Consider the following 23,779-nt stretch of genomic DNA (forward strand, 5'->3'; position numbering starts at 1 on the left):
GCTAAAACATGCACTCTCTGGTTTAAAGTTTGCCAGAGGTGGTGCTGCCCCATATGCCACATTGAATACTGGGAAGGGCCGGGCACGGTGGCTCACGCCTGTAATCCCAGCACTTTGGGAGGCCGAGGCGGGCGGATCACGAGGTCAGCAGATCAAGACCATCCTTTCGAACACGGTGAAACCCAGTATCTACTAAAAATACAAAAAATTAGCCGGGCGTGGTGGCGCCTGTGGTCCCAGCTACTCGCGAGGCTGAGGCAGGAGAATGGCGTGAACCCGGGAGGCGGAGCTTGCAGGGAGCCGAGATTGCGCCCCTGCACTCCAGCCTGGGCGACAGAGCGAGACTCCGTCTCAAAAAAAAAAAAAGAATACTGGGAAGAAGGTGGGCCAGTTCTCTCCTCTCCTCCTGCCCTGCCTTTTCTCTCTTCCCTCTCTTTTCTTCTTTACTCATTTCTTTTTAATTTCTGTTTAATGCATATAACTATGGACTTCCATTAAAGAAGAAAAGAGCACTTTCTGATAGCAAAAGGTGACAGTATTTTTATATGCATCGAGATTGAGGTTTTTCAACAGCAGTGTCACTGGAAATGCTGCCAATATTTTTCTTGCTGAGTGTTTCTCCAATATAAATCTCAGTAATCATGGCTTACATTGAAAATTCTAATATTTAAACAATTAACTGGCTAGAAAAGCAATTTAAGTTTTTCTTCAACTTCCAAAATGGCAATTTAGCACTTTGGATACAAAGCTCCAAGCTTTACTATTTATGGGATATGTCTAGTTCATATTCAGTGCTTCCATTGCAAATTATTGTGACTTTTACCAAATTTGGTATTGAAATGGGTATTTATATGGACTCAGACGTTTGAGAGTATTTCTTTTATTTGCAGTTATGGTGTTCATGAGCAAAAACAAATAAACCAAATCATACAAAACATTATTATTCACAGTGATTGAAAACAAAATAATGATCCAGTAACAAAATAATCACTCGCAGCCCAGCCTGAAAGCAGGACATTCATACAAATTTAGATTCATGTATAAATATTATCTGATATTTATACATTATTATCTGATATTTATACGTATAAAAGATAAATTACATGTGTTTGATAAACCAACATGAACATGATTTCATCACTGAAATCAGAAATATGTTGAGTTCTATGACAGCACAAATCATATTTCCTTTCTTTCTTTCTTTTTTTTTTTTTTTTTTTTTTTTTTTTTTGAGATGGAGTCTCGCTCTGTCACCCAGCCTGGAGTGCAGTGGTACGATCTCGGCTCACTGCAAGCTCCACCTCCCGGGTTCACGCCATTCTCCTGCTTCAGCCTCCCGAGTAGCTGGGACCACAGGCGCCACCACGCCCAGCTAATTTTTTGTATTTTTAGTAGAGAAGGGGTTTCACCGTGTTAGCCAGGATGGTCTTGATCTCCCGACCTCGTGATCCGCCCGCCTCGGCCTCCCAAAGTGCTGGGATTACAGGCGTGAGCCACTGCGCCCGGCCTCTTTTCTTTCTTTCTTTTTCTTTCTTTCTTACTCTTGCTCTCTTGCTCTCTCTTTCTCTCACTCTCTTTCTCTCTCTCTCTTTCTCTCTTTCCCTCCCTCCCTCTCTCTCTCTCTCTTTATTTCCTAAGCAAGCTAACACAGGACATATTCTCTCTTTTTTTTTTTTTTTTGAGATGGAGTCTCCGTCTGTCACCTAGGCTGGAGTGCAGTGGCACAATCTCAGCTCACTGCAGCCTCCGCCTCCCAGGTTCAAACGATTCTCATGCCTCAGGCTTCCGAGTAGCTGGGACTACAGGTGTGCACCACCATGCCCAGCTAATTTTTGAATGTTTAGTAGAGATGGGATTTCACCATGTTGGCCAGGCTGGTCTCAAACTCCTGAGCTCAAGTGATCCACCTGCCTTGGCCTCCCAAAGTACTGGGACTACAGGCATGAGCCACTGTGCCCAGCTGACATATTCTCACTTAATAGAATTATAGAGAAATTTTTCATGTTTTTCTTTTTCTCTCCCACTTTTTCATATTCCTCTTTTTCATTTTTGCCTTTCCGTTTCTGTCTATGATGTAGGCTTCTGAGGAGAACCAAGAAGCTTGGCTTTAGTGGTAGAATGACAGAACTTAGGGATCCCTTGCAGGCTAGAACAAAGTTCTGACCCTTAGACCAAATCTTTATGTTAAGAGTTTTCCAGAATTCAAAAAAAAAAAAAAAATCAATCAACACAACACACACACACATACATACACACACACTGCCTTTAAAAGGAGGAGCCAATATTTGTTGTACCTGTGAACTGAGGAATTATAGATAAACCTTAGGTCAAATCATTTCACAATTGCATTGGTGGTATTGAAAAATGATGAGATTTCTCTGACAGAGAGCTTTGTCCTAGTTTTTGTTCTTCATAGGTCAAAACTGGCAATATTCTCTTGTCTGCAAGATAAAGTGTTTGTGCTTCTATCACCATATGCATGAACATGTAAGAATCAGATACAATTTCTGCTTCATCAGTTTCACATGTTCATGTTGTCACTGAAAAAATGCATCTACTGTTTATAGCTCCCAAGGAGACCCCAAATCCTTTTTTTTTCTTTTGAGATGGAGTCTTGCTCTTGTTGCCCAGGCTGGAGAGCAGTAGCGCGATCTCAGCTCACTGCAACCCCCACCTCCTGGGTTCAAGTGATTCTCCTGCCTCAGCCTCCCCAGTAGCTGGGATTTACAGGTGCCCGCTACCATGCCTGGCTAATTTTTGTATTTTTAGTAGAGACAGGCTTTCACCATGTTGGCCAGGCTGATCTCAAACTCCTGACCTCAGGTGATCCACCCACCTCGGCCTCCGAAAGTGCTGGGATTACAGGAGTGAGCCACCGCGCCTGGCCCCGTATTCATTTTTTATACTGGAAAACATTTTTTTTGTAATTTTTCTTTGCAAAGAAATGAGCATAAAAATGAATACTCCAAAGAAAAGGAATTATTATGGCAAATTAAAAGGGACACGGTACTATGATTTAATTACTGTCTTGTCTTTTTAAAATGTCATCTCTTGTTTTACCCTTTTTTTAAATAAAAGCTTTAAAAACATGTCTTTGGGTATTATTCTGGAGGTATGTTTCTTTTATATAAGATTTCAAGTTTAAACATTTACAATAAGTAATAATATTTAAATTCTTATAACAAGTAATGAAATATTTGGTTTAGTAATTAGCTTAGTCTATTTTAAAAAATCATTAAAATTTGCTTTGTTTTTAAGAATGCCATACTACAAATGATGTTATTTGGTTTTAATGGTGTTTTGTGTTTAAGATAGAATAAATAGAGTTTGAAGAATGTGAAAATTAGTTATCTATGTTCCTACATTTTATTTAACAAAATTGAGCCTAACTTGCTAGCTAGTACACACATCAAAAATAACTGACTAAGCCAAATACCGTGGCTCATGCCTGTAATCCCAAACTTTGGGAGACTGAGGCTTGAGAATTGCTTGAGGCCAGGAGTTCTAGACCAACCTGAGCAACAAAGCAAGCCCCCATCTCTCAAGAAAAAAATCTTTTTTTAAAAATTAGGTGGGTGCGGTGGTGCACACCTGTAGTCCAGCTCCTCAGAAAGCTGAGGTGGGAGGATCATGAGCCAGGGGAGTCAAGGCTGCAGTGAGCCATGATCATACCACTACATTCCAGCCTGTGCAACAGAGTGAGACCCTGTCAAAAAAAAAAAAAAAAAAAAAAAGGTCAGGCACGGTAGCCCATGCCTGTAATCCCAGCACTTTGGGAGGCTGAGGCAAGCAGATCATGAGGTCAGGAGTTCGAGACCAGCCTGCCCAACATGGTGAAACCATGTTTAGTCTATACTAAAAATACAAAAATTAGCCAGGCGTGGTAGCAGGCGCTTGTAATCCTAGCTACTCGGTAGGCTGAAGCAGGAGAATTGCTTGAACCCAGAAGGTGGAGGTTGCAGTGAGCCAAGAATGCACTACTGCACTCCAGCCTGGGCGACAGAGCAAGACTCCATCTCAAAAAACAAACAAACAAAAAACTTTCTATATTCAGATAAACTTGGACTCAAATCCTAGCTTATAAATTATTAGTCGTGTAACCTTGTAGAAGTAGCTTAACCTCTCTGTGCCTTAAACAACAGACATTAAAATGTCTACCTTATAAGGGTTATTGTGACAAGAGATATAAAAATAAGACTTTTAGCATAATGCTGATTCAAAGCACTTGCTAATTTTAAAAGCATGCTTTATTATCACATCTACATTGTTACTGTAGAAAAGTAAAGTCTGGGTGCATTTGAGTAAAACATGAGGCCAGGCACACTGGCTTATGCTTGTAATCCTAGCACCTTGGGAGATTGAGGCAGGTGGATCGCTTGAGCTCAGGAGTTCAAGACCAGCCTGGGCAACATGGCGAAACCCCGTCTCTACCGAAAATACAAAAAATTAGCTGGACATGGTGGCATGCGCCTACAGTCCCAGCTACTTGAGGGGATTGATCATTTGAGCCCAGAAGGTTGAGGCTGCAGTGAGCCCTTTCTCAAAAACAATAAATAAAGCAAAACATGAAATTTCAGAATATTAAAAATATCTTATTTGTGCTCCCTGCCTCAACTAAATAAATGGCTAATAGATTTTTTTAAATATCAGATTTAAGGAATGACAATTTACCAGTCTACCATGATGTCCTATGTTTACTTCCCAGGGGGTTCATATGCAGAAGTTCTGCCTTCTTTATCTTTTTAGAGGAACTTAGCTAGAAAAGCGTGACTCTCTGGCTGCACTTTACAATTCTCACTGCAGTCCTGTTTCTGTTTGCTTCCTAATCAAGTCCTTTAGTTGGAACACAGCTCAAAAGCAGCCTCACCCTCTTTCATCACAATCTCATATTTCTCTTCCTTCTCCTTCTTCATTGTTCCATTAAGTCATAAATGTCACTAACACCTACCCCCTGCCTTATCCCAGAAACCTGGGCATTATCCTTGTCTCTTTCCTCCCCCTGGTTTTACATCATTGTCATCACTAAATCATTACTTTGCCACTAAACCACCCCACTCCCAGTACCGATTTCTGTGGTAAGTTAAAGCCCTTTGAATTTCCACTGACAGCAAACACAGCTCAAACTAGCACAGAAAAGAAGAGAATGGACTATGTCTACCTCCTGAATATTAACTGAGTCAGCTTCCTCTTTTTATCTTTACTGCTATCTCTGCTCAGAACCCTTTGAGTCCCTGTCATCTCCAGCCTGCATTGTGCCCTATGTCTCTCTTCACTCTCTACATTCCCTCTGGTTTCCTCTAAACCATAACCCACCCCTACCCCATATTCCCCTTTGCTCTTACGATAATGCCTAAGCTCCTTTCCAAATGTCTCAGAGGCCAGGCATAGTGGCTCACGCCTGTAATCCCAGCACTTTGGGAGGCCAAGGCAGGTGGATCATCTGAGGTCAGGAGTTTGAGACCAGCGTGGCCAACACAGTGAAACCCCATCTCTACTAAAAATACAAAAATTAGCCGGGCATGGTGTGCACACCTGTAGTCCCAGCTACTCAGGAGGCTGAGACAGGAGAATCACTTGAACCCGGGAGATGGAGGCTGCAGTGAGCTGAGATTGTGCCACTACACTCCAGCCTGGGCGACAGGGTGAGACTCTGTCTCAAAAACAAAACTAAAGAAAAACAAATGTTTCAGAAAGTTCCTGTATAATCTATCTCCTATCTCCCTATTCTCATCTTGAGTTATTCTCCCCCACTACACTAATTTCTATTTATGCTGGTTTGTTTTCTCTTTTAAGTATACAAGCTTTTTTCCTCCCACAGGGTTTTCGTATGTACCTGGAATCCTACACCTTGCCTCGCACCTTCTTTCACCTGGCAAATTTCCACTATCTTTCAGGTCTGAATTTAAATGCCATTTCCTCATGGAAGCCTTCTCTTATTATGCCACATAAGGGCAGGTCCTTGTTTTATATTGACTCATATCAACCTGCACTTTTTATTTGCATTATTATAACAATAATAATACTTATTTGTATTAAAATATTAATTTATTGAATACCTGCCCCAGTAGACACATAGTTCCTTGAGGGTATGGTCCTTGCTGATCCTGTTCTCTGCTCTATGCCCATCATCAACTCAATGCTCAAAAAATATTTGAGGGCCAGCCAACACATTTCTCATGCTCAAAAAATATTTGAGGGCCGGGCGCGGTGGCTCATGCCTGTAATCCCAGCACTTTGGGAGGTCAAGGCAGGCGATCACCTGAGGTCAGGAGTTTGAGACTAGTCTGGCTAACATGGCGAAACCCTGCCTCTACTAAAAATACAAAAATTAGGCCAGGCGCGGTGGCTCATGACTATAATCCCAGCACTTTGGGAGGCTGAGGCGGGCGGATCATGAGGTCAGGTGATCGAGATCATCCTGGCTAACACAGTGAAACCCCATCTCTACTAAAAATATAAAAAAATTAGCCAGGCATGGTGGCATGTGCCTGTAATCCCAGCTACTCAGGAGGCTGAGGCAGGAGAATTGCTTGAACCCAGAAGGTGGAGGTTGCAGTAAGCTGAGATTGCGCCACTGCACTCTAGCCTGGGCGACAGAGTGAGACTTGGTCTCAAAAAAAAAAAAAAATTAGCTGGGCATGATGGTTGGCACCTGTAATCCTCGCTACTCAGGAGGCCGAGGCGGGAGTATCGCTTGAACCAGGGAGGCAGAGGTTGCAGTGAGCCGAGATCGTGCTATTGCACTCCAGCCTGAGTGACAAGAACAAAACTCTGTCTCAAAAAAAAAAAAAACTTTAAGGAATAAATAAATGAAGTTATTCATCTGCATCATGAATTGGGACCAATTCCTATTGGCAAAGCTTCACAATACCCTGTATTGATTTTCAGTGTTCTCAGAAACTACTTTTCCTGTAAATGTTGGTGCTGGACTATAATAACCCATCCTATAAAGTCTCAGCCAGCCTTGGTGGCTCACACCTGTAATCCCAGCACTGTGGGAGTGAAACTCCGTCTCTACTAAAAATACAAAAATTACCCGGGCGTGGTACTGCACACCTGTAGTCCTAGCTACTTGGGAAGCTGAGGTGGGAGAATTGCTTGAACCAGGAAGTGGAGGTTGCAGTGAGCCGAGATCGCACCATTGCACTCCAGCTTGGGTAACAGAGCGAGACTCTGTCTTACATAAATAAATAAATAAATAAAGTCTCATTCAGTGGAAGTATGTTGAGGCCAGGTGCACTCCAGCCTGGGCAACAGAGTGAGACGCTGTCTCAAATAAATAAATAAATAAAGTCTCAGTCGGTGAAAGTATATTGAGGCCAGGTGTGGTGCCTGATGCCTGTAATCCCAGCACTTTGGGAGGCTAGGCAGGAGGATCATGAGGCCAGGAGTTCAAGACCAGCCTGGGCAACATGGCAAGACCCCATATCAAAAAAAAAACACACTTCAATTTGCTGGGAGTGATGGCGCATGCTTGTAGTCCTAGGTACTTGGGAGGCTGAGTCAGGAGGATCACTTGAACCCAGGAGGTCAAGGCTGTAATGAGCTGTAATTGTACCACTATACTCCAGCCTGGGTGAGAGAACAAGACCGTGTCCCTAAAAAAAAAAAGAAAGAGAGAGAATGTATTGATTGAGTCAGTTTATTTACTTATTCATAAAATGACATGGTTAGGTCAGATGAGGTTAAAGTTCCTTTTTGTGTAAATGCTCTCTATTTCCATAATCTGTTTTTTATAGCTCTATAATAGATATTTGTGGGATTTTGGCTGCCTGGAAACCACCCCACTCCTGGTACCAATTTCTTTAGTCATTAAAACTCTTTAAATTGTAAGTGACAGCAAACACAACTCAAACAAGTACAGAGAAAAAAAAAGGTCTTGTGTAAGTGAAAAATCTGGAAATAGCTCTATATTCAAAGGCTCAAAAGATGCCAAGGGAAATGTATCATTTTAACAATGCTTTTTTCATTAATATTTTATTGAAAACCACACATCCTTCTAGGATTCCAGCCATAAAATTTTCATGTCATTTTAATAGAATCATTCCATCTTTGGAAAAATACCTTGTCTCCATGTTCAGATGAAAAATGGTATTGCCAACCTGGGTCAAAATATCAAGAAAATTGTTCTCCTGGTGTTTAACTTAAGACAACTATAATATATCTTTTTCCCCTCATTGAAAACTATCATTAACCAAATAAACCCCTCGTACCAGAAACAATTCAATAATCTAAAATGAATGAATGATTTGGGAGGGGGTGGTTCCTTATCATAAATTTGATCTGTTGGACAAGAGCACTTCAACAATTCCTCAGTTCCACAGTCCCCATAGACTCCTAGAGGTGACAGTCAAAATCATAAATGTTGATGTATCCACTATACTTATATAGGCTCTATGTCATGTATATGCATATAGGCTGTAACTATAAAGAGACACCTGGGAACACCTATGCCTGTCTCATTATGGAGCACTTAGAGTTTATCAAAACAATAGCATTTCTTTTTTCAGGATTGCTATTCTGGGTCAAGTGACAATGCAAGTCTAAATATCATATTAGGAAATTGAATTCTTCTAAATTATTGTTATTAGAAAAGATTGCAAGCGGCAAGGCACAGTGGCTCATGCCTGTATCCATCCCAGCATTCTGGGAGGCCAAAGTGGGTGAATCACCTGAAGTCAGGAGTTTAAGAACAGCCTGGCCAGCATGGCAGAATGCCAGTCTCTACTAAAATTACAAAAAAAAAAAAAAAATAGCCAGAAACCATGGCGGGCACCTGTAATCTCAGCTACTCGGGAGGCTGAGGCAGGAGAGTTGCTTTAACCCAGGAGGCGGAGGTTGCAGTGAGCCGAGATCACGCCACTGCACACCAGCCTGGGTGACAGAGCGAAACTCCATCTCAAAAAAAAAAAAAAAAAAGAAAAGAAAAGATTGCAAGCACACAGTTGAAAGAAAAGTAAAAGGACTGATACTAGCTTTTTGTTTGTTTGTTTGTTTTTTGTTTTTTGTTGTTTTTTTTTTTTGAGACGGAGTCTCAGTCTGTCGCCCAAGCTGGAGTGCAGTGGTGTGATCTCGGCTCACTGCAAGCTCCGCCTCCTGGGTTCACGCCATTCTCCTGCCTCAGCCTCCCGAATAGCTGGGACTACAGGCGCCTGCCACCGCGCCAGGCTAAGTTTTCTGTATTTTTAGTAGAGATGGGGTTTCACCGTGTTAGCCAGGATGGTCTCGATCTCCTGACCTCGTGATCCGCCTGCCTCGGCCTCCCAAAGTGCTGGGATTACAGGCTTGAGCCACCGCGCCCGGCCGATAGTAGCGTTTAAAAAAAAATTAAATGTTTAAAACTTGATCACCGTTTATAACAGCTTCTCTGATATTTATTGTTTGTATGTGTATGGAGGTTTTAAAACATAAAACCAATACGTGCTCAAATGAGAGGAAATTCAAATAAAGTCAATAACTAATTAAGAAAATAGTTGGTGTATGGTGTGTCAGAATTTAAGCTTCCTAAGGCTGCCATCTGCCTATTTAGAACCCACAATTTCTGGCACAGAATAGATGACCAGCATAGCATGCCCTGTCTTATTCCCTTAACATACATTATTTCCATGCATGCCAGCTCAAAATTCTGATTCCCAACCTGTGACTCTGCCCGAAGGCTCCCTTCTGCCACTGCAGCCTGCTCCACTTGCCTACAGGCAGGCTCAAAGTATTGGGAAATTAACACCTCTGGGAGTAGTAACAATCACTGACTGACAGGAGTTGGTAGATAAATACCTCAGCTCCTCATCTTCTCTGGAAGGGTAACTCTGGTCTGTTCCAGAATTGCATCCCAGAATTTCCCAGTGTGAAGAAGCTCAAGTTGCCCACAGTAGTAACTTCTTTAATAATATATATTCTTTATTGGCCTTCTTGCCATCCCCATCACACTTCCCCACTCCTGCCAGTGTTTTCTTGGATTTGGCCCCCAAATAGACCACTTGAACTCAAATCTTTGTCTTGTCATTTGCAATTGGTAATTTTTGTTCATGTGAATAAAAAATGGAATTTTGGCCGGGTGCAGATGGCTTACACCTGTAATCCCAGCACTTTGGGATGCCAAGGCAGGAGGATCACCTGAGGTCAGGAGTTTGAGACCAGCCTGGCCAACATGGTGAAACCCCCATCTCTACTAAAAACACAAAAAGTAGCTGAGCGTGGTGGCACGTGCCTGTAATCCCTGCTACTTGGGAGGCTGAGGCAGGAGAATTGCTTGAACCCGGGAGGCAGATGTTGCAGTGAGCCGAGATCCCGCCACTGTACTCCAGCCTGGACAACAGAGTGAAATTCAGTCTCAAAAAAAAAAAAAACTTAAATAATAATACCTATATTGTGTCTAAGTTTACTAACCGTAAGAATAATTATTCTCCTCCCCGCTCTACTCCTTCTTCACGTCTGTTTCTGTTTGTTGTTGTTGTTGTTGTTGTTGTTTTGTTTTTGAGACCAAGTCTCCCTCTGTTGCCCAGGCTGGAGTGCAGTGGTGTGATCTTGGCTCACTGCAACCTCCACCTCCCAGGTTCAAGCGAGTCTCCTGCCTCAGCTTCCCAAGTAGCTGGGACTGCAGGCGTGAGCCACTATGCCCAGCTAATTTTTGTATTTTTAGTAGAGATGGGGTTTCACCATGTTGGCCAGGCTGGTCTTGAACTCCTGACCTCAGGTGATCTGCCCACCTCGGCCTCCCAAAGTGCTGGGACTACAGGCATGAGCTACTGCACCTGGCCCTTCATCTCTGTTTCTATTTTTATTTTTATTTATTTATTTTTTTGAGATGGAGCTTTGGCTGTGCTGCCCAGGCTGGAGTGCAATGGCACGATCTCAGCTCACTGCAACCTCCGTCTCCTGGGTTCAAGTGATTCTCCTGCCTCAGCCTCCCGAGTAGCTGGGATTACATGTGCTTGCCACTAAGCCTGGCTAGTTTTTGTATTTTTAGAAGAGACAGGGTTTTACCATGTTGGCCAGGCTGGTCTCGAACTCCTGACCTCAAGTGATCCATCCGCCTCAGCCTTCCAAAGTGCTGGGATTACAGGCATGAACCACTGTGCCCGGCCAATCTCTGTTTCTATTTTGGAAAGTTTGAATCAACTCTGCACAAAGTATTTAGAATTTAGCATACTTATATATTCTCTTATTTTTCTCTCATCATTGGATTTTACTAGCTATTATGATGTTACATATTCAAGGTTTATAACATTTCTCCTCCAGTTTGTAGCATGGCTATTACTTTAATTTTATTACAAATGATAACATAGTTGGGTGATTTATTTTTAACTCCAAAAATCCCCCAATGCTTTTATTATCCCTATTTCCCCTTTTAAGGTATGTATTTTAAACGCATTGTATTCTAGTTTTTTTTTTTTTAATTTCTGACTTGTGTTTAGGGAGTCAGTATTTTTGTACAACTCTTTTAAGATACAATTGAAATAGAATAAACTACATATATTGCTTTTTTTTTTTTTTTGAGATGGAGTCTCACTCTGTCGTCCAGGCTGGAGTGCAGTGGTGCGATCTCGGCTCACTGCAAGCTCCGCCTCCTGGGTTCACGCCATTCTCCTGCCTCAGCCTCCCGAGTAGCTGGGACCACAGGCACCCGCCACCACGCCCGGCTAATTTTTTGTATTTTTAGTAAAGACAGGGTTTCACCGTGTTAGCCAGGATGGTCTCGATCTCCTGACCTCGTGATCCGCCTGCCTCGACCTCCCAAAGTGCTGGGATTACAGGTGTGAGCCACTGCGCCCGGCCTCAATTGTTGTATAATAATAATTGTTGCACCATTATGTTTAGCAATTATATACTAAAGTTTTCGGGGGGTTGGGAGTATCTCTTCAGCAACTTACTCTCAAATAGTTCAGGAAAAGAAATGTTCGTAGTGTACTTGCAACTTGTTTGTTTGTTGGTTGGGTTTTGAGATGGAGTCTTGCTCCATCACCCAGCCTGGAGTGCAGTGGCAAGATCTTGGCTCACTGCAACCTCCAGCACCTGGGTTCAAGCAATTCTCCTGCCTCAGCCTCCCGAGTAGCTGGGACTACAGGCATGTGCCACTATGCCTGGTGAATTTTTTGTATTTTTAGTAGAGACGGGGTTTCACCATGTTGGCTAGGTTGGTCTTGAATTCCTGAACTCAAGTGATCTGCCCGCCTCAGCCTCCCGAAGTGCTGGGATTACAGGCTTGAGTCACCACGCCTGGCCTGTACTTGCAACTTTTATGTGAGTTTGAAATCATTTCAAAAGAGAAAGAAAAACCATAAATTATTTTTGTAATTCTTAACCTATGTAAGTATGAACAATACCTAATATTGATTGAGTCAGATCACTGGCTTAATTCTCTCAGCAAACCAATGAGTAAGTCACCACTATTAACTTCAATTTATACATAAGGAAACTGAGGCATTTTGATATTAATCATTTACCTGAATTCAAACAGCTAGGAAGTAATAAGCCAGGAATTAAACTAGATATCTGATTTTAGACCTTTTTCTCTTAATACACTATTTGATTTTATTATATTCAATTATCGAATATATATATGTGTGTGTATTTGTGTATATACAGTCATGCACCACATAACAATGTTTCATTCGACAACAGATCACATAAATGACAATGGTCTCATAAGATTATAATACTGTATTTTTACTATGCCTTTCTATGTTTAGGTATGTTTAGATAAACAAACATTTACTGTTGTGTTACAGTTGCTTACAATATTCAGGACAGTAACACGCTGTATTGGTTTGTAGCCTAGAAGCAATAGAAAGTACCATAGCCTAGGTGTGTAGGAGGCTATACCATCTAGGTTTGTGTAAGTACACTCTACGATGCTTGCACAACAATGAAATTGCCCAATAGCACGTTTCTCAGAATCTATCTCTGTTATTAAGTGACACATGACTGTATATGTATAATCAGGGTTCTTCAAAGAAACACAACCTATAGGATGTGTGGGTGTGGGTGTGGAGAAAGGGAAAGAGAGAGAGAGACAGAGAAAGAGACAGAAAGTGTGCAGAGTTGAAGAAGAGAATGGCTGTTGGGTTCAGTGAGCGTCCTTAATCTGTGGAATACCCTACTCTCCTCATATATTCCCATTTTCTTTCACACAACTCGAAGCCAACTTCCACTACTACAGTCAGACCTAATCAAGATGGCCACCTAGGCAGCTTCACTCTGCCAGTTCCCTTCTCTGACACTGCTCTTAAACACCCACCATGGCCACCAGCAGCCATCATGCCTGTGGTGACTCCAGAGAAAACAACCCATGGTTTTTTGCATAGACCCTTTGTCACCCTTGTTTCCACTAAAAAAGTGGAAAGTCTCTGGGAAAAAAGTGAAGCCTGATGGTTTGTGAAACTGCCCTCATACTTGTTTAGAAAAATGTATTCAGTTTAGTTTATCTTCCTATCTCAACTTCATTTGGTACCCATTATATATACAAATAAGGACTTCAGGGCATGAATAAAAAGCCACGAGAATCAAAGAACGTCTAAAGCTTTGTGTAGTGGTATTGTAACCCAGTCTGTCCTCTGTTCTGCAGCTTGTTTAGACTGGATATTGGTTTTTCTAGATTTTTCTTCAGTCTCTTCTTGTCCCTTCCCACAGACCCATCTCAGAAGGACAGCCAAGCTCCAGTACTTTTCCCTGGGGTTAAAAAAAGATCCACCCACATGTTATCTGACATAGTTCTGGCTGTTTTCTCCCTCCCATCTCTTTGTGTCTCCATGTTCTACAGCCTACTCTGTGTCTCCTCCCTGTTCAGGCCTTTTCCCTCTTGTGCACACCCAGAACATGGGCCTTCATCTTGCCAGTCTTCCTGAATGTTCATATTTATTTAAGGTCTACCTCCCCTATTAGACTATGAGCTCCGTGGGGGAAAAGAGACTATGCATCAACTTTCCCGAGCACCTTGGAGACCCTCACAGACTGTTTACCTTGTTAATACCATTCCCTCTGCCAGGAGGGCTCTTCTCTGTCCGTACAAATCTTTTCCAGTCTTTAAGTGAGACCCTTCCATCTCTTCCTGGAAGAAATTTTGCAGGCCTCTGAATATCTGATACACAGCTTTGCCTTCTACCTTGCATGAGGGCCTACACTTACATCTTATCTTTCCTAGTATTTTGCAAACTTCTTGAGGACAAGAAAGTGTTTGGGGGCTCTGAAGCCAGTCTAGGTTTGAATCATGGGTCAGTCACCTGCCTATGTAGTTGTGTGATTTTGTGCAAGCAATTTCACCTCTTTATATTTCCGTTTTCTTTCTTTCCCTTTCTTTCTTTTTCTTTCTTTCTTTTCTTTTCTTTTCCTTCTTTCCTTCCCTCCCTCCCTCCCTTCTCTCTCTCTCTCTCTCTCTCTCTCTCTTTCTTGAGTTTCGCTCTTGTCACCCAGGCTGGAGTGCAGTGGCGTGATCTTGGCTCATTGCAAGCTCTGCCTCTTGGGTTCAAGCAATTCTCCTGCCTCAGCTTCCCGAGTAGCTCGGATTACAGGCGCCCACCACCACGCCCAGCTAATTTTCATATTTTTAGTAGAGATGGGGTTTCATCACGTTGGCCAGGCTGGTCTCCAGCTTCTCACCTCAGGTGATCCACCCGCCTCGGCCTTTCAAAGTGCTGGAATTACAGGCGTGAGCCACTGTGCTGGGCCTCTATATTTCAGTTTTCTTTTCTGTTAAGTGAGGAGGATCCTCATAGGATTTTGTGAGGATTCAATTAAATACTTTTGTAAACTGCTTAGGAGACACTTTTTGATAGTTTTGTAAACTGCTTAGGAGAATGCCAGACACATGAAAGTATTTAATAAATATTAGCTGTTACTATTAAATTTCTTATTTGTTGCATTAGTTTCTAAAATTTAGAGGCTTAGAACAGTTATAGACATTGTCACCTTTTACAGTTTCTGTGGATCAGGTATTGGGAAGTGACTTAGATGGGCTGCTCTAGTGTGGGATGTCTGCTAAGGTTGTGATCCAGATGTCAGCTGGGGCTGCAGTTACCTGAAGGAATTCCTGAGGCTGGAGGATCCACCTTCAAGGACAGTTCTTCTCTCTGTGGGGCCTTTCCACAAGACTGTCTAATGTTCTCATGACATGGCAGCTGGCTTCCCCCATTGAGGCCCCATTTACCAATTCAAGAGGCCAAGGCAGAAGCCCTAGTGCCTTCACACAGACAGCTGTGATTTGGTGTGCCTGATTATACTAGGGCATGAATCTCAGCAAGTGAGGATCATGAGGGGTAATTGTGGGGGCTGGTTGCCACATTTGTATTCTGTTTTCTTCCCAGGAAATCGGCATCAGTAGGAGGCTTATTATTCTATTTTTTATTTTTGAGTCAGGGTCTCACTATGTTTGTGGCCCAGGATGGATTACAGTGGCATGATCCCGGCTCACTGCAGACTTAAATTCCTGGGCTCAAGTAATCCTCCTAGCCTCCCAAGTAGCTAGTACTACAGGTGTGCGCCACTACCCCTGGTAATTTTTTATTTTTTGTAGAGACATGTTGCTGGGCTGGTCTCAAGTGATCCTCCAGCCTTGGCTTCCCAGAGTACCGAGATTACAGGTGTGAGCCACCATGCCCAGCCAGTAGGAGGCTCTAGTAATTGCAGACATTGTGATACAGGCCGGCTGGAGAAGAATTCAAGGAAGAAGGAAGGAATGAACCAAACGAAGTTATTTTTTCAGCCTCATCTTTTGCCTCTTCTCCCCTTGTAATCTTGACTTCCAGACACTGGATAAGGTCTATGACGGGCGACAAAGTGCACACAGCAATGACAGCCTAAGGGAATCGTGGAAAGTGTACCAGAGGAAGTGGTGTTTAAGTAGAGATCTGAATTTGCAGAGGAATGTAGCAAAGTGCATTGGAGAGGAGGAGCTAACCAGAGGGGCACAAGCCTTGATTATCTGAAGACCAGGTGGGATCTGAAAAACCATAAGAAATTCAGTTAAGCTGACAGCAATGAAAGGGACAAAACAGTGTTAGAAATTAGCATAATGTGTTCTCCAACAGAAAGTTCCAATAGAACTTTTTGCAATAATGAAATTTTCTTTATCTGAACTATCCAATACAGGAGCCACTAGCCACATGTAGCTACTGAGCACTTAAAATGTGGCTGGTGTGACCAAAGAATTGGATTTTTAGGCCAGGGGCGGTGGCTCACACCTGTAATCCCAGCACTTTGGGAGGCTGCGGCGGGTGGATCACAAGGTCCAGAGTTCAAGACCAGCCTGGACAATATGGTGAAACCCCGTCTCTACTAAAAATACAAAAATTAGCTGGGCGTGGTGGTGGGAGCCTGTAATCCCAGCTACTCGAGAGGCTGAGGCAGAGAACTGCTTGAACCCGGGAGGCACAGGTTGCAGTGAGCTGAGATCACGCCACTGCACTCCAGCCTGGACGACAGAGCAAGACTCCGTCTCAAAAAAAAAAAAAGGAAAAGAAAAAAGAAAAAAAAAAGAATTGGATTTTTATTGAAGAACTCAGGAACTGAATTTTAAATTTTATTTAATTTTAATTAATTTAAATTTCAATATTCACACATGGCTAATATCTACTGTACAGCAGAGCTCTTACAGTAAGAGACCCTTCTGAATAGTAGAGTGGCAGATAGAAGGAGAGGCTAAGCTTTGCCATGTAGGCAGTAGGCCCTTTCAGACTGGAAGGGACCTGGATAAACTAAACCTGGTGCCTGGCAAGTGCTGGCCAAGTGCTTGATGTGCTACCCTATTCCCTCTCTCTGCAAGGATATTTGTAATTGAGCTAGATGCTCTGAACAACGAAGGTCTAAAGACACAGGGGACTGGTTCTCTGATGGCACAATTTGAGAGAGCTATTTTGGGTGTGAATGTCTTTTGCCTACATCTACCACCTAGGATCAGGGTCAGACCCACTGTCTTTTAAGAGGGTCAACAGTGTAAAGGCTGTGTCCAAACTTGCATCTTCTTAGACCAAACAATAACCTTCCTTCCCTCCCTTGGTCCTTCTCTCCCCTCCTTCCTTCCATGACTTTGTGCTATGCTGGGTTTTGGGAAGAGGAGGTGGAACAACGCAGTACCTTTTCTTTTCTTTCTCTCTCTCTCTTTTTTTTTTTTTTTTTTTTTTTTTTGAGACGGAGTCCCATTCTGTCGTGCCCAGGCTGGAGTACAGTGGCTGGAGTATCTCGGCTCACTGCAACCTCAGCCTCCAGGGTTCAAGGGATTCTCCTGCCTCAGCCTCCCGAGTAGCTGCGATTACAGGTGCCCGCCACCAAGCCCAGCTAATTTTTTTTTTTTTGTATTTTTAGCAGAGACAGGGTTTTGCCATGTTGGCCTGGCTGGTATCAAACTCCTGACCTCAGGTGATCCGCCTGCCTCAGACTCCCGAAGTGTTGGGAATACAGGTGTGAGCCACCGTGCCCGGGCAGTACCTTTTCTTTTAAAAGCTCACAGATGAGTATAAAAATGTCCACGCACTGGCTGGGAGCCAGATGATTTGGGTTCTGGGTTCTAGTTCTGTCTCCCCAGACTTGCTGTCTGTGACACAGCTTTCCCATTTGTAAAATGTCAGGGCTGCAGAGGACTTCTGAGGTTTCCGCCCTCTCCTACCTCCTGGGAGATTATGTCATGTAATAATGCTAACAGTGGTAATAAAAACCCAGCCACGTTGAGTGTTCCAGGTTTCACGCACTGTGCCAAATGTTTCACATTTGCCATTTCACTCAATCCTCGTGGCCGTTTTACAACCCTCATTTTATAAATAAGAACCCTGAAGCTGCCTGAGTTTAGGTAACTACTTCAGGGCCACACAAGGAGTAAGTAGTTGAGTTGGGATTTGAATATTGATTCCAAACCTTGAGCTCTTAATGACTTTGCTGTATACATTACTTCTTGCCACAGGTGGGCCAGTGACGAACGAACGTTGGGTTAAGCAGGGAGGTATTCTTGTTAGGATTATTAGCAATGCTTAGTGTATGTATGTATTGTTAATTTTATTATTATTTTTTTGAAACAGTCTCGCTTTGTCGCCTAGGCTGGAGGCAGTGGCGCGATATCGGCTCACTGCAACCTCCGCCTCCTGGATTCAAGCGATTCTCGTGCCTCAGCCTCCCGAGTAACTGGGATTACAGGCACGAGCGACCACGCCCGACTACATTTTGTATTTTTAGTAGAGACGGGGTTTCGCCATGTTGGCCAGGTTGGTCTTCAACTCCTGACTTCAGGTGCTCCGCCCGCCCCAGCCTCCCAAAGTGCTGGGATTACAGGCTTGAGTCACCGCGCCCGGCCTGTATTTATTTTTATATAGAGAAGGGCGAGGGAGCGGGGTCATTTTGTTACCCAGACTGGTCTCGAACTCCTGGGCTCAAGCGATCCTCTCGCCTCGGCCTCCCTCCCAAAGTGTTGGGATCACCGGCCTGAGCCCCCTGCCCGGCCTCGCTCTACGTTTTTTAGGCGCATTCTGAACGTGAAGTGTATACACTGAATTCTCACAGCAACTGCATAGGGCATCAGTACCAGTGCCCTTACTGTACAGATGGGGAAAATGAGGCTCAGACAGGCGAAGTAAGTAGCTTAAGTTCACACAGAGAGGAAATGGCAGGGATTCAAAGCCTAGGAGTCCGCCTGCAACCCTCTCGCCTGACCGTCCAGTCTTCAGCTCCGCGGAGCCTGGGCCTGGGGCTGGGGCTGGGGCTGAGGCTCTGGAAGCCGCCGGGACGCAGACGCCACTGGGCCCCAGCGTCACACCTCGGCCGCGCACGCGCTCTCGGGTTCCGGGCCGGAGCGCGCGGCGGGAGCGAGGACGGCGGCAGGGAGCGTGCGCGCGGTGACGTACCGGGCGCCATGTTGGAGGGTTGGTGGTAGCGGCTTGGGGAGGTGCTCGCTCTGTCGGTCTTGCTCTCTCGCACGCTTCCCCCGGCTCCCTTCGTTTCCCCCCCCCGGTCGCCTGCGTGCCGGAGTGTGTGCGAGGGAGGGGGAGGGCGTCGGGGGGGTGGGGGGAGGCGTTCCGGTCCCCAAGAGACCCGCGGAGGGAGGCGGAGGCTGTGAGGGACTCCGGGAAGCCATGGACGTCGAGAGGCTCCAGGAGGCGCTGAAAGGTGGGGGTAGCTGCCCCCTCTCCATTCCCCCTCACCTTCTCCGGCTCGCTCTTCTCTCCTTTCAGGGCGGATGGTTCCGAGGACCGGGGCCGGGCGCGGCGTGGGGAGAGTGCTTCCCGGGCTCCCATCCCCCTCCACCTCCCCAGGGGCGGGGAGCCCTGTGGGCAGCTCTCTCCCGCCCCGCTCTGGCTTTGTGTCGGCCGCCGGCGTCTGGGCTGGGGGAGGGGAGCCGGGGAAACTCTTGCGGGGGCCCCAGTCTTTCTCCCACCCGTTCAGGGGACGAGTGGCGGACCCGCAGACCCCTCCCTCCCAGATATCCTCTTTTCTCCACCAGGCTACCCGTACGCTAGGCGTTGGGGTGGGAGAAAAAGTAAACGGTTGGTGGGGGCGGGGGTAGGGGGTAGCATCGCAACTTTTAAGTTGTCTCAGTATGCCTTTTTCAGGGCTTTTGAAGTCATCTTTCCGCGCCCTAATTTCGAGGTGGTTGCCTTCACTGTTCTTGATTGCACGCCTTCCACGCAACAGGCTTGAGAACAGTGGCTTACAAACTTCGAGTAGAGAGATTTCAGCGTTTTGAGAATTATTCTTTGACATTCAGAATCATTTGGGGACGGCAACTTGGGGTAGTTGGTGCTTCTTAGAAAGGCAGATTTATGGACTTAGATGAACAATTGGTGGGAGTCGGGGCCTGGGGATTTTTATTTTCACTGGATTCCCAGCTTAATATAATGCTGGTGTTCCCCCGGACCACACTTCGAGAAGCACTGCGTTAAAAATGGTTTGTGAAGTTGAGTGCCCCCTTTAGGAGGATTCTTGTTATCTGTAAAGAGGGTGACATGTTGGAAGTAGAACTTGGAGGATTGAGGTGGTAATTTGGTTGAGAGGCCTTATTTTTTTAATTTTGTATTTAATTGATTTTTAATAAGGTAAAGGACTAGGAGGAAAGTTTGTTTTTAGAGCGCTTTTGAGAAAACTGATAACGTTTTTTTTTCTTCCTTCATCTAGATTTTGAGAAGAGGGGGAAAAAGGAAGTTTGTCCTGTCCTGGATCAGTTTCTTTGTCATGTAGCCAAGACTGGAGAAACAATGTGAGTTGAAAACATGCATTTGTCGTTATAGACCAGTGCATTATTAAGAATTGCTCAGGAAAGGGAAAAAAGTATATTTTGGGATAATTAAATAATTCATTCTAAATTGTAGAAGTCCTGGTCATTTAAATAATTTATATATTTACATTTAAAGAACGTATACGCTTACTTACTTTATACATGGTCTGTAACGGATTTTAAAAACCTGTGTATGTTAAAATTTTCTTTATAGCTAGGCTTTGGCACGCTTAGAGAATGTATTAGTCTTAACGAGCCAGAGAAAGGAAGAATGCCTATTCCATTATGACCCTTTTTGGCCATAACAAATAGGCTTATTCCTAGAATTTTGTGGCTTTGATTCTGTTTCAGAGTCTTGGTGGTATTTTCTCATATTGTCGTGTGTCCAGCCTTTTTTTGGTCATATTTGCATATGTAGGTGTTTAAAGTGTCACTTCTATTTATCGTCTGGAGGACTCTGTTATTATCTGACAAATTCCAGATGCTACAGTTTTGACTTGTAGACTTTCTAAGATAGCTGACTTGTTACATATGCTCAGCATTTTATTCAGCTCGTTTCCAAATGTTCTGAATCTGAAACTTACGCTATAAAGTTAGGGCTGTGTTCAGAAGGAACATTCCAGGTCATTGTTTTGCAGTTTGTGTGGTAGACACAATCTGGCTAAGTTTATTTGTAGACAACAGTGCATCTTTGATGACTTCTTTTTGTAGTCTTTGGGTGGGGGCTGGGGCAGCAGGAAAGGGGTAGGTTTCTATGGTTTCAATGTTAATAAGTGGGTTATCTGCCCAGTATGAGTGTAGCTTTCAGCAAGAATTGTATAATTTCTCTGGCTTTATTATTAGCAAGTGTTCATTTCTCACAAGATTTGCTTATTTGTAGTCTAGCCTTTTAACAACTAGCCTAATTTTAGAAAGAAAAAAACCTTTGCTGCCTCAGTGCTTGATTTAATGGTCATGCCTGCAAGCTGAGTCTCCTTAGTATTCTATTAAAATACACCAGTCATTTTGAGAACGTCAGTGTGATGTGTTCAATGTTGTATTTCTATTTATTACATTAAAAAATGGGACCCTCTGGGCGGGGGAAGTCATTTTTACCTTCGCATTAGGGTTTCATATAGAACATCTTGATTTAGAACAATGTAAAACTGTTAATTTGTGCTTATATAGATAAGCCTAAAAATGACCACATGCCATCTTTCAAAAATAAATTAATCCCTAAAACATAAATGCTTAGACTGCCACTATTCCTCTTGAATTGCTAGTCGGCACAGACTTAGCCCTGTCAACAATGTCAAGCCAAATAGCATTTTACTTTTGGCTGTTTTTTGATATACAAGATGATATCAAACTATTTGGAGATGAGTACTTAAAACGTCTTACTCAGTTTATCAGGTTTGTACACACTGCTTTCCCTTTTTGATAAAGTACATTGCCTATAAATGTATAAATAATTGAAAGTTTCTAAAAGATAGCTTTTTAATATCCTGTCTTACTGGAACACCAAGTGGCTGGGGAAGTTATCTGATTTTTTTTGGACAGTTATTTTATCCTGGTAGAAGAGGACTTAAAATTCCCAATCCTCCACCCCATATTCGGTGTTTATGTATTCACTAAGCATGTTTTGTACTGAAATGATTGGTGTAGTTAGATTCTTATATTCAATGGAATTTGGAAAATATTTTTTATTTTATTATGTAAATAGCAGCCAGTGTTTATGCATTTAGCTTTAAGCTTTGATTTCTTTTTATCAACATGGCATATCTTTGATACTGACATTTGCAGAGTTTCTGCTACCTATTTATGGCTAAACTAAGCTTTGTCTAGTATGTGAGATTGTAACGAGAGAATGAAAATGAAAATTTAAAGAACAGCAATTTAGACTTTTCTGATGTTTTAGGATGGGTGGATTGCTTAAGATAAGCATTTCCACCGGATGTGGTGGCTCATGCCTGTATCTCAGCACTTTGGGAAACAGTGGGTCACTTGAGCTCAGGACAAAAAATTTAAGTTACCTGAGTGTGTTGGTACATGCCTATAGTCCCAGCTTCTCCAGAGGCTGAGGCAGAAGGATTGTTGGAATGTGGGAGGTTGAGGCTGCAGTGAGCCATGATGGTTGGTGCCACTGTACTGCAGCCTGAGTGACAGAGTGAGACTCTGTCTCAAAAAAAAATTTCATAGTTGTTTTTATTTTCACTGATGCATTATAGCAAGAAAGCATTAACAGAAGTAGTATGTGAAACTGTTTATGGATCAAAATCAGTGACCCCCCAGGCTGCTTAGTTTTCTTTTCAAAAGACAATTGATTTGACACTTGCTTTTAGCTTTAGAGAGGTTTTAGAATTGTAAGTATAGGCTTTTACAATGGAGGAGGTTGTAGGAAAAATGGAGGAGGCCGTAGGAAAAATTTGAACATTTTTACTTCTTAGTCTATTAAAATTACCTGTAAACATCTGATGTAGGAAGTTAGGAAAGATGCCAAGACATACTAAATTGATGTGAAGAGGGAAACTATATATGTATATAACTAAAATAATTAATCCCCAGGTGAATTGTTTCTGGCCACTTCAAAAAATTGTTTTTATGTTGGAAAGAATACACTCTTCTGAAGGTAATGTAGTTTCTGACATCATGCTAAATATATAGTATGCGCTGAATAAACAGGAACATATGGTGTGTTTCAATCATGAATTTAAACACTTGATGCATTTCAGTCATGGATTTAAAGGTATTTGATGGGTTTGAGTTGCAATTATTATCCTTTTTGACGGTCAAGTTGTCTCCCATTTGGTCAGTGGTAGCCTTTTCCAGTTGGCTCCAGAGTCCTTTTGACGTGACCTTAGTAGTTTTTGATAGTATCCTTATTCTCTGGTATAAGAATATGTTCCAAGCTCATTTCCTGCCCCAGATGTGAATCAGATATTTCTCAAGAAGACCTGCCTTTTAGTGGGAAATGGCATTTCAAGACTACAATCTTGGTGGTAGAGAAGTTTATTATTACTCAGCTACATAAAATACTAAGACTTGCAATTCAGAATGAGGAATACAGCGTTTTAAAAAGTTTTTTTTTTGTTTAGGTAAAATATACTTATATAATTTACTGGCCAGGTGCAGTGATTCATGTCTGTAATCCCAGAACTTTGAGAGGCTGAGGCAGGTGGCCCAGGGTCACTTGAGCCCAGGAGTTCGAGACCAGCCTGGGCAACATGGTGAAACCCGTCTTTACAAAAAATATAAAAAATTAGCCTAACGTGGTGGCATGCGCCTGTAGTCCCAGCTACTCCCAGCTACTTGGGAGGAGGAGGTAGGAGGATCACCTGAGCCTGGGAGGTTGAGGCTGCAGTGAGCCGTGATTGTGCCACAGCACTCCAGTCTGGGCAACAGAGTAAGACCTTGTCTCAAACACACACATGCACACTTGCACACTTATGTAATTTACCATCTTTACCATTTTAGTTTTCTTTCTTCTTTTTTTTTATTTTTTTGAGATGGAGTCTCGCCCTATGCCACACTGGATCGTAGTGGCGCGATCTCGGCTCACTTCATCCCCCACCTCCTGAGTTCAAGCGATTCTCCTGCCTCAGCCTCCTGAGT

At 43.3% G+C, this 23,779-nt stretch overlaps 1 protein-coding gene and 1 long non-coding RNA gene across 7 annotated transcripts in view, besides 3 other annotated features; one reads left to right on the forward strand and one right to left on the reverse strand.

Moving 5' to 3' along the window:
* Positions 1-15,471: 15,471 nt before the first annotated feature.
* LOC124909395 (uncharacterized) lies at positions 15,472-19,203 on the reverse strand. Of its 2 annotated transcripts, none has more exons than XR_007095961.1 (2): positions 19,119-19,203; positions 15,472-15,934 (listed from the first exon to the last, which is right to left on the reverse strand). It is a non-coding gene; the product is annotated as an uncharacterized LOC124909395 (long non-coding RNA). The 2 variants fall into 2 exon arrangements; XR_007095962.1 differs by lacking the exon at positions 19,119-19,203 and adding an exon at positions 17,419-17,639.
* Positions 18,448-18,497: an enhancer, noted in NCBI's record as "active region_20096". NCBI's record gives its function as "activates an Ori minimal core promoter by ATAC-STARR-seq in GM12878 lymphoblastoid cells {active_cell/tissue: GM12878}" and the evidence as "EXISTENCE:reporter gene assay evidence [ECO:0000049][PMID:35858748]".
* Positions 18,678-19,307: a silencer, noted in NCBI's record as "silent region_14534". NCBI's record gives its function as "represses an Ori minimal core promoter by ATAC-STARR-seq in GM12878 lymphoblastoid cells {active_cell/tissue: GM12878}" and the evidence as "EXISTENCE:reporter gene assay evidence [ECO:0000049][PMID:35858748]".
* Positions 18,755-23,779, forward strand: part of PPP4R2 (protein phosphatase 4 regulatory subunit 2) — a 72,456-nt gene continuing 67,431 nt past the window's right edge. For 4 of the 5 annotated variants that reach the window (NM_174907.4, NM_001318025.2, NM_001318027.2 and 1 more), the window contains exons 1-2: positions 18,823-19,083; positions 20,089-20,170. In NM_174907.4, coding sequence (NP_777567.1) covers positions 19,050-19,083; positions 20,089-20,170 — 116 coding nt within the window. In that variant the 5' untranslated portion in view covers positions 18,823-19,049. The other variant, NM_001318026.2, reaches the window with a different exon arrangement.
* Positions 19,758-19,807: an enhancer, noted in NCBI's record as "active region_20097". NCBI's record gives its function as "activates an Ori minimal core promoter by ATAC-STARR-seq in GM12878 lymphoblastoid cells {active_cell/tissue: GM12878}" and the evidence as "EXISTENCE:reporter gene assay evidence [ECO:0000049][PMID:35858748]".

This window comes from Homo sapiens, chromosome 3 (genome assembly GCF_000001405.40).
Source record: "Homo sapiens chromosome 3, GRCh38.p14 Primary Assembly".
In the NCBI taxonomy this organism is placed as follows: Eukaryota; Metazoa; Chordata; class Mammalia; order Primates; family Hominidae; genus Homo; species Homo sapiens.